Source organism: Homo sapiens, chromosome 7, assembly GCF_000001405.40.
Source record: "Homo sapiens chromosome 7, GRCh38.p14 Primary Assembly".
In the NCBI taxonomy this organism is placed as follows: domain Eukaryota; kingdom Metazoa; phylum Chordata; class Mammalia; order Primates; family Hominidae; genus Homo; species Homo sapiens.
In genome coordinates this window covers 42,170,658-42,190,632 of record NC_000007.14, presented here as the reverse complement: position 1 = coordinate 42,190,632, position 19,975 = coordinate 42,170,658, and the positions used below count along the sequence as shown (strand labels likewise).

General features: G+C 43.7%; 1 protein-coding gene across 7 annotated transcripts in view; it reads left to right on the top strand.

Moving 5' to 3' along the window:
- GLI3 (GLI family zinc finger 3) overlaps positions 1 to 19,975 on the top strand; it is a 303,320-nt gene that overhangs the window by 73,636 nt on the left and 209,709 nt on the right. The window contains exon 1 of one of the 7 annotated variants that reach the window (XM_017011997.2): positions 8,018 to 18,113. The exons of the other annotated variants lie outside the window; for them this stretch is intronic. Coding sequence (XP_016867486.1) covers positions 17,993 to 18,113 — 121 coding nt within the window. The 5' untranslated portion in view covers positions 8,018 to 17,992. Of the gene's footprint in view, positions 1 to 8,017; positions 18,114 to 19,975 lie in introns of those variants that run through there. 7 annotated transcript variants of the gene reach the window in all.

Sequence of the window (19,975 nt, the reverse complement as noted above, 5' to 3'; positions counted from 1 at the left end):
ACAACATGAAACCATCTGCCCCTTGAGTGTTTGAATAAACTCACACACAACGCTACCAGGGTCTGAGTCTGGAGCCTTTATTGGAAATAATTTTGAAGAGCTATTTCAGTTTCTTCCATTGTTATTGAGTCTTTCATATGTTCTTAAGTCAATTCTGGTCACTTATATTTAATCAGGATTTTAAAATTTAATTGCATAGAATTTTGAAATACACTTTTTTAAAAAGCAAACAACTCTTTCCTGTCTATGTTTACACCCCATTTTCAGTTTGTGCTTGTATTGTCTGTCTTTCTAATCTTGGGTGGATTTGCCCGTGGTGTTTTAGTTTGTTGTGTTCCCCATCCTCTAAACAGCCTGCTTCGGGATATATTTATAAATTCTAATGGTTTTCATTTTTTCCAGATCATAACTTATTTTTGCCATTGTTGTTATTTTCACTTCTTACCTTTTTCAACTTGTAAAAATGATTCCATATACTGTTTTTTTTTTTTTGACAGTAAGATGATATTCATGCCGCTGACTTTGTTACTGCATAAAATGACTGTTGGTAATATTATTTGCAAATGTTAATACCTTTAAACATTTTCCCTATGTAATTGCAAAATATAGTTCTCTGTGTGTGTGTGTGTGTGTGTGTGTGTGTGTGTGTGTGTGTGTGTGTTGAGCCCATGCACACATATATGTGTTGCTTGGGCATGAATGTTCATTATAGGATATATCCGAATCTATCTTGGTATAATATTAGATGATGATAGATTTTGAAAATACTTCAAGAGTAATTGATTCAGACTTGCTTCTTATAATCCAAGAAAGGAAATGATTCATCCTGTTGTTAATAATCAGCAGAGAGGAAGAGAGACTCCTGCTATCCTTGCTAATTTACTCCAGCACTCTGTCAAGTTTTGGTAAGAACATTCTCACTTCTGTGTCATCAGGTCTTACTTGCTGTGTTTTGAGCCTGTTTCCTCCCCTTTATTCTTCAAAGCCATCAGAGTACAAAGTGGGTGTTCTTAGTAATCTTTTACATGCTTGAAGATACATGTTAGAGTATCTGAACCTTCCATATTTTATTTCTTCCACTGATAGTTTTATTTTGATTTTGGCTGATTACAGCTTTTCCTGATTAGCTTTTAAAAATGGAGAACAAAAGACTCCTTGCTTTTATAAGGGTATGATTAGTACTCAATACAGGAAGGAGTTCTGAAATGCTAACTATTGATGAAGTCATTCACCTTAGTGGTTTAATATCTGTTTCTATCTTGTTTTTAAATAGGGTGACTTTCTACAACCATCTCCCTGTTGTGTGAATGTGTTTAGGATTTTTGTACGTTGCATGTTCTCTCTTGATTGATGATTGTTCTAAGTTTGTTCTTTTCTAAACATCCCATTGATTGGCTGGATTATAGTTTATTTTATTAGTCCTTTATTGTTGCTTATTTAAGGCATTCTTTTTAAAAAATAGACTATTTTTTAGAGTGGTACTGGGTCCATAGCAAAATTGTGTGGAAGATACAGACATTTCTTATATGCCTTCCTGCCCCCACACAGCCACAACCTCCCCCACTGTCAACATCCTCCACCAGAGAGGTACATTGGTTACAACTGGTGAACCAACATGGACATCGCATTATCACCCAAAGTCCATAGATTACTTTAGGGGACACTCTTGGTGTTGTCCATTCATTCTGTGGGTTTGGACAAATGGATAGTGATGTGTATCTGCCATTATAGTATTATACAGAGTAGTTTTATTGCCTTCAAAATCCCCTGTGCTCTACCAGTTCTTCCCTTTCTTCACTCATCCATTCCTACCACCCCTAGCAAACAGTGATCTCCACAGTTTTGCGTTTTCCAGAGTGCCATATATTTGGAATCATATAGTACATAGACTTTTTATACTGCCTTCTTTCACTTAGTGATATAAGTTTCCTCCATGTCTTTTCATGACTTGATAGCTCATTTCATTTCAGCACTGAGTAATATTCCAGTGTCTGGATGTATTTATTTATTACCGACTGAAGGACATCTTGGTTGTTTCCAAGTTTTGGCAATTATGAATAAAGCTGCTATAATCTCTGTGGTGTGTTCATGTTTTACTTTTCTTTTTACTGATATAAAAGCAGGTGGTGGTTATCCTTGTAGCTGATTTTTTGTTCCTATCTCTGATTATTTTTATAAATTCCTTAAAGTAGAATTGCTGGATCAAGAAATAGTTACATGTTAAGGGTTTAATACATATTCAGAAGAGCTAACTCAACTTACCCTTTACCAGCGGTGTGTGTATTTATATTATTAGTCGTCTTCAATACAATAGATGCCAGGATAGAGACCTTTCCACCTAGTTAGTTTACCTAGGCTGCTATAACAAATTACCACAAACTGGGTGGTTTTACTCTCTCCAGTTCTGGAAGCCAGAATTCTGCAACCAAGGTGTTTGCAGGCCCATACTCCCTCTGACGGCTCTAGAAAAGCATTCTTCCTTGCCTCTTCCATCTCCTGGGAGCCACTGGCCATCCTTGCTATTGCTTGGCTTGTAGATGCATCACTCCAGTCTTTGCCTTTATCTTTACATGATGTTCTCCCCTCTATGTGTATTTTAGTGTCTGCTGGCCTATTTTTTTTTTTTTTTTGAGATGGAGTCTCACTCTGTCGCCCAGGCTGGAGTGCAGTGGCGCGATCTCGGCTCATTGCAACCTCTGCCTCCCGGGTTCGAGCGATTCTCCTGCCTCAGCTTCCTGAGTAGATGGGATTACAGGTGCCTGTCACCACGCCCAGCTAATTTTTGTGTTTTTAGTAGAGACGGGGTTTCACCATGTTAGTCAGGATGGTCTGGATCTCCTGACCTTGTGATCCACCGGTCTCGGCCTCCCAAAGTGCTGGGATTACAGGTGTGAGCCACTGTGCCCGGCTCTGCTGGCCTTCTCGTAAGGACACCACTAATTGGATTTAGGGTTCACCTTAATCCAGTATAACCTCATCTTACAAATTACATCTGCAAAGATGCTGTTTCCATATAAGGTCGCATTCTGAGGTCCTTGGTGGATATGAATTTTGGGGAGGACACTATTCAATCTAGCATGATTGCCTGATTTTTATTTTCTTTTGTTACTCAGCTTTAAAAAATAATGAAAATCTTATTAGAAAATTAATAATACCAAGCAGCAGCCACAGGAATGATGATAAATGAACTTTCACCCTTTCCTCTTATGTTGCCATCATCTTCAGTGATAAACTTGATAAACTTATTCTTGATTTCTTCTTCCTTGTTAATACAAATATTAAACAATAATATCCTAGATATCAAACTTCACTGTAACATTTTCAAAAGAAAATGTATTTGGGGTTTACTTAGATATGGGGTGAATAGCGTTTTAAAATAATTTTATTGCTAATACTCTTCTTCATGTTTTTTTTTTTTTTTTGAGACAGGGTCTCACTCTGTCACTCAGACTTGAGTGTAGTGGCATGATCGGGGCTTACTGTAGCCTCAACCTCCCAGGCTCAAGTGATCCTTCCACCTCAACCTCCCAAGTAGCTGGGACCACAGGCCTGTGCCAACGCACCCAGCTAATTAACTTTTTTTTTTTTTGAGACAGGTTCTCACTATATAGCTCAGTTTGGTTTCAATCTCCTGAGCTCAAGCAATCCTCCTGCCTCAGTCTTCCAATGTGCTGGGATTATAGGCATAGCCACAGCACCCAGCCATCATGATCATTTTTAATGCTATTTTGTCAGGTTTATTCTAGATGGCTCCAAAACATTTAAAAGCTCACTTTAGCCATTATTTTATTTAATCCCAAAATGTAGATATCATGAAAATGAGATGTGGTGGTTTATAAAAGTTGATCTGGTGTAGAACCAGAAGTCTGTTTGAACTAACTGAAAATTCAGGCATTTAGATCTAGGATATATTATTTTCAAAGATGATGTTTGTCTAGGTTTATTTAGGCAACTGGATTTGTTGTAAATGTTGTGGGCCTTCCAGTGACTAAGGCCTGAAAGACCCTGAATTTTGCGTTCCATAGTGCAGTTGCACTGATGGTCAGGGGTGTTGTCCCCAGGCAGGGCAGTTGTCATTCCGCTGCTGTTGCCTCTGGGTGCTCATGTGATTTTTCAGGTGTCTCATCTGTGCCTTCTTGTGAGCACATGATCTTGTTTTGAGACTCTCAAAAGGCCTTTCAAATACTTTTTTTCTTGCAAAATCAAGAACGTCATTATTCTTTCTGTGAGTCTCTCATGGGTACCTGCTATACGCCAGGCACGGTGCTGGCCACTAGGGGTGCTAACCAAGGCGGAGAGGGTGGATTTTAAGGAATTCCAACTAGGGTGAAACGCAGTACCTAAACATTCAGTTATAATACCATGCCAAGAATATTATGGTTGAGAGACTTTGAAAGTGCTCTGGGGAGCTGGAAGGAGGAATATGAAATTATTTGATTGGAGGAGGGTTGTCAGGGAAAGTTGTTGAGAGGAGCTGAGATTTTACTGTTTTTCGTTTTAGACACCAGCTTCTGCAGCATAAGCCCATGGTAAGTTCGCTATTTGGTTCTCATATGCTGAGCCACGTTTTAAGGCTGTGTTTTATACCTGGGATTGCTGACGATATGGTCTGGCTTATGTGATCATTTGCATAATGCATGGTGACAGTGAGGCTAAGTTCTTAGCTGCTGGTCCAAATAGGCCCAGTGTGTGCCAAGAGTTGCTGAAATGGCTGCCCTGGCCCAAAGAGGGAGCCTAGCACATGCCCCATGACTCCAGGGACAGGCTGAGGCTCTAAGCTCTGAGAGGCTGGTGTTTGTATAAATGGTCAACCCAGGAAAGTGAGTACACACTACTGCTGCCAGGGTGTGTGTGCGTGTGTTTCTTAGATCACAATCTTTCATCCTTGATACTAATAGCACCAGTTGCAGGCTGGAGAGACTCACTGGTTGTTCAAGAAGACAATGCACATATACTCTGTAGCAGCACATCTGTGGTGCATAGGAGTGCACAAGGGAAGCTGTAGCACATCTGGGCAGCTCCAAAATGTCACGAATAAAGCATCTGGATATTTGTACTTCCTGAGAGCTGCAAGACAGAAGCTAGAGCTCATCTGTAGTATCTGAGAATTGCCCAAGAAATGGCTCTGAGCATCCTGCCATAATTATAGGAAAAATGTGGCTTGAAGAGCGTGTGGATCATACTACTACTTGAAAGCATCTCAGCATGTTTTGTGAATCCCCTCTGAATGGATGCAGGAAAAAGATGCGGGAGAGCATGAGTGGGTGATAGGGAATAAGAAAGCAGCCTGGAGAAGGAAGCGGTCTTTTAGGTGGTCCCTGGACCTCTTCCCATGAGTTGGGAGAAAACACATGGCTAAATTACAGTGGATTTGAATATGTGTGGATTCTGATGGACTCAGGAAACATGCCCTGAAACCCCCACAGTAGGGTGAATTAAGAGCCCTGGGTGCCAGCTTTGTAAAAGCAGTCAGTCCAGGTAGAGGAGGGGACCCAGTAGCACAGGACAGGAAGACACCAAACTGTGTAGATCTCCTCAGCCTGCCTGCCTGCATGCCCAGGTGGGATGGGAGCCAGTGTTCACCTTAACAGGCATCATGTGTGTTGCAGGTTGCATTTCCCAGGAGGCAGACTCTGAGATAGAGTTTTGTGTGCAGGATGTTTATTAGGGAATGCCCTCAAGACAGGCATCTGGGGAAGAGAGGGGAGGAGCAGGAAGGAGTACAGGGAGATGTCAGGATGCAACGAAGGTGCCATGCCAGCCTCAGCTGACCCCACAGGGGTCCAGTGGGGAGTAAGAGTTGTCCCAAGTCGTACTGAGACGGCTGGGCCTTCACACCTTCACACAAATTAGTTATTGATCTAATAATTCCTGGGGGTGAGGGCTGCCCCAGGAATGAGTGTCCCTCTGCTCAAAGCAGCTCTCTGTGGCACAGGCAATCCTTGCATGGGCTGAGCGCTAAAGGGTGTCTGTGTCTCTGGGTTGGGCATCATGATGTCACCATAACATATATTACATGGCTTCATTCATTCATTCATTAAAACAATTCACATTTATTGTGCTTTTCCTAAAATCAGTCACTGTTCTAGGCCCTGAAGGGAGTGTTGAAGGAAACAGATATGGTGTTCCTTCACTGTAGGAAGAGCAGGCCCGCCTTCTAGTCAGGAGACAGTCGGTAAACAAGGCAGTGAACATGAAGGTACCAGGTGGAATGGGTGCTCTGATGATCATAAATGGGCTGATGAGATAGCTGGTGATTGAGGGACCCTGAGACACCTGAAGGTGCAGCCACAGGGAGATCTGCGGCAGGGGCCTTGCAGGTCAGGGAACGGCAGCGCAGAGCCCTGGGGCAGACCTAGGCATGGTGTGTTTCACAACAGAAACAGAGACTGGCCAGAGCAGAGACGAGGGGAAGGAGATGAGGCTGAGGCAGGAATTTTAGTTTTATTCTAAGCATGACGGGAGGTAGAGCAGAGGGGAGCGTTCTAGAGAGGGCACCTCCTAGAGAGTGCTTAGCATGTGCTCATCCCATTCTGAGTGTTTTGCATGAGTGACGCATCTAATCCTCGGTAATCCTATCAAGTGGCTACTGTCATTATCCCTCCCCATTTTACAGAAGAGGGAACTGAGGCAGAGACATGCCTAAGGCCCATGGCCAGTGTCGGAGCTGGGGACCCAACCTGAGGAGGCCAGGCTTACATTTCTGGCTCCCGATTTCCATGCTGTGGTCATTGTTTTGAAAAGGTGGCCTGGTCAACATGTGGGGCAGGAGGAGAGCTAGGAGGTCATTTAGGAGGCTACTGCAGCTTGGCTGAGTCCGGGTGAGAGGGGGTGACGGTCCAGCTCTGAAGAGGGAGGGAAGTGGATGGACTCAGCCTATGTTGTGGAGAGAGGAATCCAAGATGACTCATCGTTTTTTGACTTGAGCAAATATAAAACATAAATATAGATATAATATAGGACATCTTACTTGTTCTTTATTTGACGGCGGTGTAGGGATTGGGAAGTCTTCAGGCTGTCACAGGTCCTTCAGTGACCTGGAAAGAAAACTAAACTCACTTCCTGTAAGGGGCATGGATTTCTGACTAGGAACCCCTTCCTATCTGCTGTCCCCAGAAATTGTCCACTTTTCAAAGCTTGATTGTCCTGGGCCCTTGCTATGGCCCTGGCTGGGGTAAGATAAGGTAATGACGAGGTGCCTCAGGCCCCTTCCTGATTTGCCCCCCACCCAAATAACAGCCTGGCACATGAAAGTTCATCAGCATTTAGCCTGTTGCCACCTGTCCTTGTGCTGTTTGCTTGCACCTGGTGAAAAGCAAATATGGAGGTTGGCATCACCAATATGATAGTGTTTATACCCTGAAAGGATGAGAACGTCAATATTAACAGTGATTTTTTTTTAATTTTTTGAGACAGAGTCTCATTCTGTCACCCAGGCTGGAGTGCCATGGCGCAATCTCGGCTCACTGCAACCTCTGCCTCCTGGGTTCAAGCGATTCTCATGCCTCAGCCTCCTGAGTAGCTGGGACTACAGGTGTGCGCCACCATGCCAGGCTTATTTTTTTGTTATTTTTAGTAGAGACGGGGTTTCACCACGTTGACCAGACTGGTCTTGAACTCCTGGCCTCAAGTGATCTGCCCACCTAGGCCTCCCAGAGTACTGGGATTACAGATGTGAACCACCATGCCCAGCTAATTTTTTTGTGTATTTTTAGTAGAGACAGGGTTTCGCCATGTTGGCCAGGCCATTCTTGAACTCCTGGCCTCAAACGATCTGCGCACTTTGCCCACTTCGGCCTCTCAAAGTGCTGGGATTACAGGCATGAGCCATCACGCCTGGCCAAAAGCAATTTGTTTGGGACTCTTGTTTGCCAAAAAAATTCCTCTGTGTGTGTGTGTGTGTGTGTGTGTGTGTATTTATATGTGTGTATATATATATACACACATGTGTATATATATATATATATATATATATATATATATATATACACACACATATACATATGCATATAAAAATGTGTTTTTTTAATACTATGTGAGGCCTTGTCTTCCATTGAATATTGGAAAGTTGGTAATAAGCTTAGCTGGTCAGAAGTGAAATGTGAGGTCCTTTGGCGAAAAAGTTTAAGGAGAAACTTCGGCTCTTTGGGTAAAGAGCATGCGTTTACAGGGATTATTATTATTATTTTTTTAATTTTAAAGCAAGGATATAAAGCAGGGTCTTTGGTACTATTTGGAGAATTTAGACAGAAAAGAAGAAAGGAAAAGTAGTACCTGTTTACATTTTCATTTCCATTTTTTCCCCTAAAGCTGTCCTGCGCAACATGGTAGCCACTCACCGTATTTGACTACTTATATTTAAATTTATGTAAATTAAAATGGAATAAAATTAAATATTCAGCCCTAGTCATACTGGCCGTATTTGAAGTGCTCACCGGCCACGGGTCTACTGGCTGCCTTGCCAAACGGAGCACCTGTGGAACACGCCATCAACACAGAAAGTGCTATTGGACAGTGCTGCTCATAGCCTTAGAATCCAAGAGATTCCTGGACTCTTGGAGGCCCGTTGTAAATCGTAGGGCCCCAGGAACCTAGGAGAGAAAGAGTTCTTACAGACAAACTTACAGATGACCCTAAACATGAAACAACAACAGTAACAAAGCTAGCTCATCTACAAGGACCACTCTGAAGTCCTGTAATCTGAAGATGGAAGTCTCATTTTACTGGCCCAGGCAACTAGTTCCTGGAAAGTTCGGTACATGGATGATTTTTCTAGCTAGTTAGTGCTTGATGTTATTTACCAAGATGTATGAGACCTTGTTCCTTCGTGTGAGTATTTTAACCTAGGCCATTATCTTTTTGCAAAATGGGTATAGTCATCTTAGGGGAATGTAGTGTGGGGCAATGGAATGTTTTTATTACACCTCGAAATCACAGTTGAATGGTATTTATAGAGTTATACTAAAAACTATATGAACTGGCTTTGGAAGTTTTTGTTTTTGTTTTTGTTGTTTTTTTGTTTGTTGTTGAGATGGGGTCTCGCTTTGGCACCCAGGCTAGAATGCAAAGTTGTGATCATGGTTCATTTCAGTCTTGACCTCCTGGGCTCAGGCAGTCCTCCCACCTAAGCCTCCCATGTAGCCGGGACCACAGGCATGCGCCACCACACTGGCTAATTTTTTTTTGGATTTTTTTATAGAGACAGGGTTTCATCATGTTGCCCAAGCTGGTCTTGAACTCCTGGGCTCAAGATATCCACCCACCTCATCCTCCCAAAGTGCTAGGATTACAGGGGTGAGCCACCGCGCCTAGCCTGGAAATTCTGCATAGGCTGAAATTTAAGTCATGTTACCCATTGCTGTCTGTGATGTATCTGGACCTTCCATTTGTTAGGCAGTAATATTTTTAGTGTAGGTGAGAAGTTCTGATATTCTAATATAATCCCTAGAAAGTCTGTTTTCTAGATTATAGGAGTTGGCAAACCATAGTTGGAGGGCCAAACCCAGCCTGTTTGTGTAAGTAAAGTTTTATTGGAACACAGCCACTCCATTTGTTTATGATTGTGTGTGGTTGCCTTAGCCCTACTATTGCAGAGTTGCAGAATTACAACAGACTGGCCTGCAAAACTGAAAATATTTACACTGTAGCCTTTGACAAAAAAAGCTTTGCCAGCCCCCAGTCCAGATACTGGGTGAACGATTGGAACGCCTTTCCAGTAAGGAAACATCTGTGCAGGTCCAGGTTTGCCAGAGGATTTTAGAGTAGATGTGAGATTTCCTTATTCTTGGGCTATATAATTTAGTAGACAATAGAAAGGGTAATTACACATTATACCTTTTTGGATGTCAAAGACTTTTTTGGATGTCATTTCTCAGCGATAACCTTACTTTCTACTTTCACTAAGGAAATCTTGGAGTTTCACTCCAACAGGAGATAATTTTCACCGACTTCTCATCTGCCAGGGTCTGTGCCCACTGCCTCCCACAGATGAGCTGTTCGAACTGTTTGGCTGCTGTCTAAAGGCAATGCTGAGCGCATCCTGGGTCCTACCCTCCAGCCTTTTCCAGGCCATCACTCCACCTCTCTCCCGCCTGTGTCACCTGATTTGTCTTTCTGCTGGATTGCTCCATCAGGATACACATGTCCATCCTCTGAAAAGAAACAGACACTCAGTGACCATGTTCATCTCACCAGCTGCCACCTTCCCCTGGCTCCTCTGTGTGTAAGCTCTCTTTCACAGGGCCATTGGAGCTCGCTGTTTTCACCCTCAGCCATTCTCTTTTGAACCCACTCTAGTTTTTGCCCCAGTCACTTGTTCCACAAAAGCTGCCTTGTCCAGGCCACTGTTGGTCCTCTGGTTGCTTAGACCAGTGGTCAGTTTTCAGTCTTCATTATGCTTGACATGATGACAGGGGTCTTCCCCCTGCTCCACCTGGCACAGTCTCTGCATGATAGCTGGGCCTTCTCTGTTGTCCTCCGCCCCCACCACTGCCTGTCCTCTGCAGGCCACTCCTCGTTCTTATCTCCTGCACATGGGAGAGCACAGAGTTCAGACCTGGGCCCTCTTCTCCCTCTGTACTTATTCCTTGGGAGCTCGCAGCCAGTTTTATGAATTGAAATACCACTGATTTGCTTATAACGTCCAAATTCATTCTTCCAGCCCTGCTCTCTCCCATCCAAACTTCACACTTGTGTATCAGCTGCCCATCAGACACTTCTGTTTGGATATCTGCAAGACATCTTAAACATGACATTGGCGAAATGAGCTACTCTCCACCCACTTCAGGCTGCTACACCTTTTCTAGCCCAGGTGATGGCAAGGCCATGCTTTCAGTTCTTCAGGCTCCCAACGGTGGAACATTGGAACCATATTCCCCACTCCCTCACCTCTCCGTCTCTCTCTCACTCTCTCACACATACACACACCCATACCCCCTTGCCACACACACATCCCAAGTCTAGCTTGCTAGGAAATTCTGTGGACTTTTCTCTTCATAAAGCACCAGAATCTGCCCCCTGCTCACTGCCTTCCTAGGAGCCACCATCAGCTCTTTCCTGGATTGCACCAACAGCCCTCAGTTTCCTCACCACCATCCTTGCTTTACTAGAGTCTGTTGTCAACACAGTGAGCCTTTACAAATATAAGTTGGATTATGTCACTCTCCTGCTTAAAACTCACCCAAGGGTCCCATTTCCCTTGGAGTCAATGTCCATACAGTGGCCTTGGGCAGCACACTCTGTCCCTCCCGTTACCTGCCCACCCACGCCTTCCCTCTGCTCCAGCTGTATTAGTCTGTTTTCACGCTGCCAATACAGACATACCCACGACTGGACAATTTACAAAAGAAAGAAGTTTATTGGACTTTCGGTTCCACATGGCTGGGGTTGCCTCACAATCATGGTGGAAGGTGAAAGGCACATCTCACATGGCAGCAGACAAGAGGAGAGTTTGTGCAGGGAAACTCCCCTCTTAAAAATCATCAGATCTCGTGAGACTTAATATCACGAGAATGGCATGGGAAAGACCTGCCCCCATGATTCAATTCCCTCTCACCAGGTCCCTCCCACAACACATGGGAATTCAAGATGAGATTTAGGTGGAGACACAGCCAAACCATATCACCAGCCATACTGCCCACTGCCTTTTCTTAAACACACCAGGAACATTTTTGCCTTGTTGCCCTGGCTCTTTCTTCTTCCTCTTCCCCTGTGTCTGTTCTCCTGACTCGCTCATGTCTGTCAAGTCTGTGCTCAAATGTCCATTTTTTGTGTGATCCACCCAGATCACCTTGCTCTGTCTGCCTGCCTGCCTCCTGCCTACCCCCGGTTGCCTGGTCCCACTGAACACCACTCTACTTTTATTTTCCCATAGCCGCTTGGTAACCTCTAACAAACACTATCCTTTCCTCCTGGTAAACTCTAATCTTCCAGTGATGGGGATGTGTCTATTTTGTTGATTGCTAGAGTCCAAGTGTCTAGACCAGGGTCTAGCTACTAGTCCCCAGTACACAGTAGGAGCTCAGTACATGTTTGCTGAATGAGTGAAGGGGCCTGATTCAGTCTAGTGCAGCCCTTCTTTGTAGCAGTGAAGGAATAGCTCTCCTTTCTTCTTGAAGGGGGGTGATGAGTTCCTTGGAGATAAGAGGCAAGGCCGTTTAGCTTTAATTTGTTTTTCTGTAGGTGGTGGGAGTGGGCTATCTTTTCAAAGACACATATTCCAGAATGGTCAGTACCATGGTATCTGCCGTCCTGGTCATTGCCCGAGGAGCTTTTACAATGACTATGGAATTAAGCGCCTGCATCTGGGTGGCCTGCAGTTTGCCTTACTGATATGATGGTAAGCTGGGGTCTCAGCAGAAGCTGCAGGGATGATACACAACTTTGTTGGCACTTTAGGTGATGCACATTTTGTCCTGACTGTCTTCCCTGGAGCTTTCTGTTCTAAGCAGAGCAGTTGAGTGTGTGGACATTTGTTGTGTGCTGCTTTTGGCCGACATCTCAGCTGGGACACAGCTGGGCCCTTGGGCCCAGAGGCAGCACATTCACTGTACCCCTCAGATTCTCAGCTGAATAGCACCTGAAGTTCTTGTTAGCACTGATTTTTTCCATGTCAAGTTTGGCTAGTGACTGAGATCCATGAAGGCGAAGCCATTTTATCATCCTTGGTGCACCAGGATCCAGCTGGTCCCCACACTTAGCGGGGTTGCGTGAATGTTCATGGAGTCGTGAGTGATACTGCCCCTAGCAAAGCCTCTCCAGACATCATATGTTAGACATCCCAGCAGCATGTGAGCCTCTGCTATTGTCTTACTGGACGAGCCCGTCGAGGAGACAGGGTGCACTCTTGCAGAGGAGCACACTGTTGTTTGCATCAGCTTCGCTCTATTAAACCTTCCCCTTGCTTATCTCTGCTGGCCCATCTATGTTTTTTCACATTAATTTACTCTTCCGTTTGTCTTCAGTCCCCATAACCTTTGAATAAGCTGCTTACTGATGATCTTCCTTCCATCATATTTAGGATTTTGAATATCTACATGTTTTTAAGCCATAGAAATGTAGAACTGGAGCTCAGTGGGCAAAGGCTTAAGTTCTGGATCAGACTGATGGGGCTCACAAACCAACGCTGCCATATGCCAAGTGTGTTCTCTTCCTTTTTGCACTTCATTTTCCTCACCTTTAAACAGGTGATAATTGTGGACTCTGCTTCATTTTCCGCCCTTATATGACCTTTTCAGTTTCAGTTCCCTTAGCTTCTAAAAGGCCAAGGTCATGAAATCTTTCTCTTTATTTGAAGTTACAGTCCTCTTTATGTTTTTGATCATTGAATATGTGACCTCCTGCTGCCTCCGTCTCTCCTCCCCACTCTGCATCAGGGGATATTTCTCAATATTTGATGTGAGGGTCCCTGAGGCCTTTGCTGACACTCCTCTCCACCTCTGGCCACTCTCTTTCTATCACTCTCACCCACCCCTACTAGAATATGGGCTGCAACTAGGACATGTAAGCTCTCAAGGGAAGGACGGAGTGTCCCTATCACTGGAGCGTCAGCACCTAGATCAGCCCCTCCTGTAACAAAGTGGGTGTTCAGTAAATAGGTGAATTAGACAGGGATGGATAAATCAATGAACAGAGTCCCTTCTTAGCTCCGTGAGAAGGCCACTTCCCATTCCAGTCTGGCTCCTCAGTTTAGTGTATGCCTTCTATTGAACAGCTTGGCCCCCTGCCTGGAAATTTGGGGGCTAGATTTAAAAAGTGCCTGAGGGGAGAGGGAAGCGATCCTGTGCTCTTCCTTGGGTTCCAGCATTGCCTGGTTTCCCAGGACCCTCAGGCAGGGCTGCACTGAGGAGGGCTGGGCTGTGGACCCTGGGGATCAATATCCCACCTTCACTGACCTCCAAAGGAGAGCAGCAAAACTAGGTGAAGATTCAGGGAATAGTTTCTTTGAGGGAATGCTCACTGAGTTAAGTTGTGGACCTTGTATTTTTCTCAATAGCCTAGGGCTAAAGAAGCAGATTGTCTTAGACCCATAAAAGATGAGGAAGCAGATTGTTCTGGCAGAGTTCAGACTGGGGTTGGCAATCCCGCTATTTGTGCAAGCCATGGGCTTGTGCCTCTCTGGGCATCTGTTTGCATGAATTCATGTCTTGTTCTTCTGACTGCAGAAGGAACAGGCAGGCCCCTGGAGAGAAAGAGAGAGAGGAACCTGGGTGGCGTTAGAGAAGAAGGTTTAGAAACCTGAGCTGATAGATCTGTTTTCATGAAGGACTTCATGTGACCTATGGGCCTTCACAGGATTTGTCAGGACTTGTGGGGAAAGTCCTGTACAGAACTGTGGAGGGGGCATTCTCTGTACCTCTGCTTGGAATCCAGCTGCCTTCTGGCATCTTGGTGGATCTTTGAGGATATCTTTGGGTCAGCACCAGCATATGGGGACTAAAGTAATGGGGTATGAGTAAATGTTAATCAAATTGAAATAGGGCTTCATGACAAGCTGGCCAGGACATCAGTCCCTGTTTCGGTCACCATGCCTGACTTGTGTGACAATCCTCCTTTATCATTCTGTCTGTGACTTGGAGCTCAGTTGACAAGTTCAGACTTGGTGCCAGTAGGAGGGTGGTTTTGGGCCCTGTACTGTTCAGAGTTATGTGCGTGGGCTGTGGGATCCAACAGACCCAGGCTTAATTTCTGGCTTTGCTGTGTGGCCTTAGGGAAGTTTCTTACCTTCTATAAGCTTTGGTTTTATTTATTTATATTTATTTTATAAAATGGAAACAATAAGCTCATGGTGAGGATTTAAGGAAATCAAAGAGATAAAGGGTTTTGTACAGTCTGATATTCGGTAGTTGTTACTGTTAGTGTTATTATACATCATGGTATGCAAGTTGGAATCCAGTTACTCCCATATAGAGTTAATGGTTTTTAATGTTTATGCTTTTTATATAAGTTTGTTTAAAACTCACTTTCAGCCGCAAAAGTTTTGTAAGAGAGACTACTGTCATTTCTTTTTTTTTTTTGGAGACAGAGTCTCACTCTGTCACCCAGGCTGGAGTGCAGTGGCACAATCTCAGCTCACTGCAACCTTTGCCTCCCAGGTTCCAGTGATTCTCGTGCCTCAGCCACCCAGATAGCTAGGATTACAGGTGTGTGCCACCACGCCTGGCTAATTTTTGTATTTTTAGTCGAGACAGGGTTTTGCCATATTGGCCAGGCTGGTCTCGAACTCCTGACCTCAAGTGATCAGCCCACCTTGGCCTCCCAAAGTGCTGGGATTACAGGCATGAGCCACTGTACCCAGCCCCTATTTCTCCAAATGAAGAGACTGAGCCCCAAAAGGGTGAAGTCTGTTTCCTCAGCTTATACAACTGGACCGAGGGATGGAAGGCAAGCATTTCGGGGGGACTGGCCCAGTGTACTTTATTCATGCTAGCATCAATGGTGAATCCCAACACTTAAAAGCATTTATCACTTTGTTGATCACAGACACACAGACACACCAAGTACCACATAGGTGGTGTGTTTTTGATCAGCTAGTCTCAGGGTCTCTCTGGGAATTTAATGGACTCAAACAGTTGCACAAGGTGCGACTGTAAGGTAACAGACGGCATTTACAGAAATCAGGCAGGAAAGACAATCCCACCGCTTCATAGACATACTTCATGTCAGCATGGGGGCAGAGGTTCTACTGAGAGCTGACATCTATAGAACACTTCCCCTGCGCATCCTCACTTAATCCTCCCGGCAAGCCCACTGCTGTTTCCACGTTTTACAGATGAGGAAATGGCGCTCGGGGAGTTCAGTGACTTGCCCGAGCTGGAGCTGAGTGTAGTGACAGAGCCAGGCCTTGAACCCTGGCAGCCAGACTCCTCGCCCGTGCCGTCACCCTCTGTGCGGCCCTGGGGGGCGGTTGATGAACACAGTTCATCAAAAACGAACTGTGATCCGACAGATGAAAGCCGAGGTCTGTGAACATGTGAATGTTCTTTTGTGAACCGAAATGTGCTTCAGTTGTTTTCTCTGTGTGTCAGGGAAGAGCGACCATGAACTCCCAGCTCGTTGGGCAAAGGGCTGATTTATGAGGATTTGCTCAACTCTAACCAGCTGGTTAACAACACGGAGCTTTTAACGTTTCCAGGGGAGGAAATGAATAAACAGGCATTTGGGATGAAGTCCACTGAGTCCGCGGGACTGGCTGAAAGGTGAATTCAGTTGGAAGAAGTTTTGACATACAATGCAGACATCTCTTGACCCAGTTTTGAATCAGAGTTCTCAGTAAACAAAGTCAGGAAATTAGAATTTCTGGGTCAATTCCACATTTCATAAGCAACGTCAAAAGAAATATTTATTTTGTGGGAAGGTTACCTGGTTTAGGTGGAATAAGTCAGACGGAAAAGCAAAATTAGTTACCCAGATGATGGGTGTTCTTTATTGATTTTAAATTCAGTAAAATTGCCATCAGAAATTCTCAATTATAACATTTATGTTTTATCTAGTATTTTAACTATAAATGGCTTGTACATATTTGAGAGTCTTTTATCCTATGGAATACTTGAAACCATGCTGCATTTAATTTAATTTTTTTTAGAAAATCAAATATCACCAGCTATCTGCTTTCCATTTGCCTTTTGGCCTTTTGGAAAAATACAAAATTAGGATATTTTGGTAGAATTAACATAGCAGGCCAAAATTTCTGTAATCCTTTAGTGATTTCTCAGAAATAAAAGCCATGTGGCAGTGGTCAAGCTTGTGCCCAGCATAAAATGACTAAAAGTGTAAACTGGTAAGGGGCTGATATAGACCAGCTCTGCTTCTGTTCTTGAGTTCTCTTAGCGTGTACTTTGCTTCCTCATCTCCCCTGGGTAACTCCCCTGTTGCAGGGAACATGGACCCTTCCTGAGAGCCAGTGGCTGTGCTAGAGTTGATCATGTTCCCAAAGAGTTCTCTGAGCTTCCTTCTGCTTTGGGGGAATGAGAGGTTCTGAAAGTCTTTTGTGCTCGTGAAAGGAGCCTGGTTTAGAAGGCTCTCATCAGACTCTGGCAGGATCATTCAGGTTACACATAAAAAAAGGGAAAGAGGACAGGAAAATACAGGAAAAAAATGACTGGAGAATATTATAATATTTATTTGCTTCTAAATCAGAATAAATGGGCAGCTTTCCACAAAAGCCAAAATAGACAGTACCCTCGTTACCTGGATCTGTGCAGGACATTCATCCATTCATGCTGCTAGTTTTATTGCAAAGACTGAACAAGTCATATTAATGCAATTTTAAAAAAATAGGGCCAGACTGGGCTTTAGAAATAAGTAACTTAAAGTTGCTTGGGACATGAGGGGACATGAAGAGAGAGAAAAGATTTCTGTCTCTGTGTTAGGCATTTCAACTGATTCTTTTAGAATATTTTTTGCCCGCCGTGTCTGTCAACGATGGCTTGGCTAATGCAGCCTAGTGCTCGTGGAGGTTGCATCTCTCCAAGTCAGCCAGGCATCAAGTATTTCACCAGCACTTATGGTACATCTACCTGTGGGAGAATGCAACATAAAAATATACCCGTCGTTGTGACAATTTGACTTGCAGGGAAGAGTAAGGTCTACAGTGTGCTCAGTGGGCTACCCTGCAGAGGGCAGGCACTACCGGGTAAGGGCACTGGACTTCTTGTTCACTTGTCCGTGGTCCTTTCTCTCTCCTTCTGACTGCTGCTTCCCAGGGATGGGGTTTGGGCTACTTCATCCCAAGTCTGTTTTCATAATTGTAAAATGTGGAATAATCTTCATAATTTGCAAGGTTGCTGTGAGAGTGATATTAGGTAGAAGGTGAATGGCTCTTTGAGAGTCATAAATGGCTTGTGCTTTGTTAAATAGAAGGTGATAATAGCCAAGTAATGAAATGTGTTAACTTTACTCACGGAAAACTCTCAGCTCCACTGCTGAAAACTCATCCCCTTCTCCCAGGCAACCATTTGGAGGCCCAGGCCAGAGGCTGGACCAGGAGGATTGGATGCATCCGCGCTGTCCATCCCTGCTGCTGCACAAACGACTCAGCCACAGATCCTCTTGGATGGGCTACCTTGAAAGGGGGAAGCTCCAAAGAATGCGTACAAACCCATACATTTACCTAGGTGCGGGATGATTGCAAGACCACTTTATTCATTTAATTCATTTACACTTTTTAGTGTAAAAAAGTTTATCCTTTTTCATCTTACTATCTAATTCTGCTTTTTGATAGAAATGCCAGCCATGCAAATTCTCCTCTACCACAGAGGCAGTGAGTTAAGACATGCGGATCCCTCTTTTCTGTTTGAAACCCATGGCTGAGATCTCATGGGTGAGAGCAGAATGTGCATGAATCCTGCAGGCACCCCCACCCTCTGCCCTTTGGAGCAGTTAATATTGTTTTATGTTCCCAAGTGAAAACTTCAAGATTTTTTTTTAAAACTTCTCTTATGAAGAGAACTACGAAGGAGATAACGGGCCTACGTACAGAAGAAGCAAATTAAAAAGAATTTCCAACTCCCATGTCACTATGTTTAAGCAATGTGAATACATCCAGGAGTAGAGAAAAGACTAGAAGGAAATATACTTTTCTGTTCAAAACCCATAGCTGAGATCTCATGCATGAGAGCAGAATGTGCACGAGTCCTATAGACACCCCCACCCCCGTCCTTTGGAGCCGTAAACATTGTTTTATTCTCAGAGGCAATGTGAAGGTACATTCTGTTCAATTTTGTTGGGAAACTCTGCCCCCAAATACCATTAAAATTTCTAAGAAAAATAGATAAAAACAGATCATGGCACAGTCTTGGGTCTTTTCTTTATTGTCACCTGTATTTTCAACCTCCACTATGGATTATAAATGCCAGAGGGCTGTCTGCAGTGACAGAAGGAATTCTCTAAGGACTCAGTGACTTAGCTTTGACCTACATTTGGAAGAAAGCTTTAAGAACTGTATAAACTTGAGCAAGTTGAGAAGCTGCAAGTCCCAGGGCCTTCGATTACCAGACGTCTACCTTTTTTCTCCCCGCATTTTCTGTGTCCTGTAGCATTTGATTATGGTTTCTAATAACAAAAGCAATAATCATTGTGGAAAGTCTGAAAAATATTGAAGAACATAGCAAAATAAAACAAATATTAGCCTTATTTCACTATTCATGTGTGGATGACAATTGTTAACATTTTAGTACATTTCCTTCTAGTCTTTTTTCTACTTGTGGATGTATTCACATTGCTTAAACATAGTGATGTGGGAGTTGGAAATTCTTTTTAATTTGCTTCTTCTGTACTTAGGCCTATTATCTCCTTAGTTCTCTTCATAGGAAAAGTTTTTTAAAAAATCCTGAAGTTTTCACTTGGGAAGAAGTGTTAAAATGTCTTGCTAAATGTCTATTTCGTGAAGCCTGTGACAGTGGACTTGTATGATAGAAAAGGCCATGAAATCACATCTCATACAGACTTCTGAACAATCTTGAAAATTTTTGCAATCAAGTCTAGCTTTGAATCTAACACTTATTAGAAGCTAAGGTGAGATGCAAGACAGTGAACTGATAATACAGTTCCTAGAGCTGTATAGAGTCAGAAGAGCTGGAAAGTGAGGTGAGTGGGGAATGGAGGACACTGCACAATTGTTATAGAACCCTATAATTTTACATAGAATGATTAATAAATAACTGTGTGCTGAGTCAATCAGATTGTTGCTGCAGGGAGAAGCCACAAAAAGCTCACAGGTTATATTTTGCCTGAGGAATTAGGGTTAAACTGGGCATGAGCTCACAGAATGTCTAATACCTCCTTCCCACCCCTACAGGGGATTTAGGAAAGAAAAAAATAATTCTCAAGCAAATACTTGATTGTGGCAATTGTGGTGAGAGTGCTGGCATCTCTTTTATTTACCATTAACTTGTATTTCAGAAAGACCAGGTACTTTCTTAAAAAGTCAGCAAGGCCAGACGTGGTGGCTCACACCTGTAATCCCAGCACTTCAGGA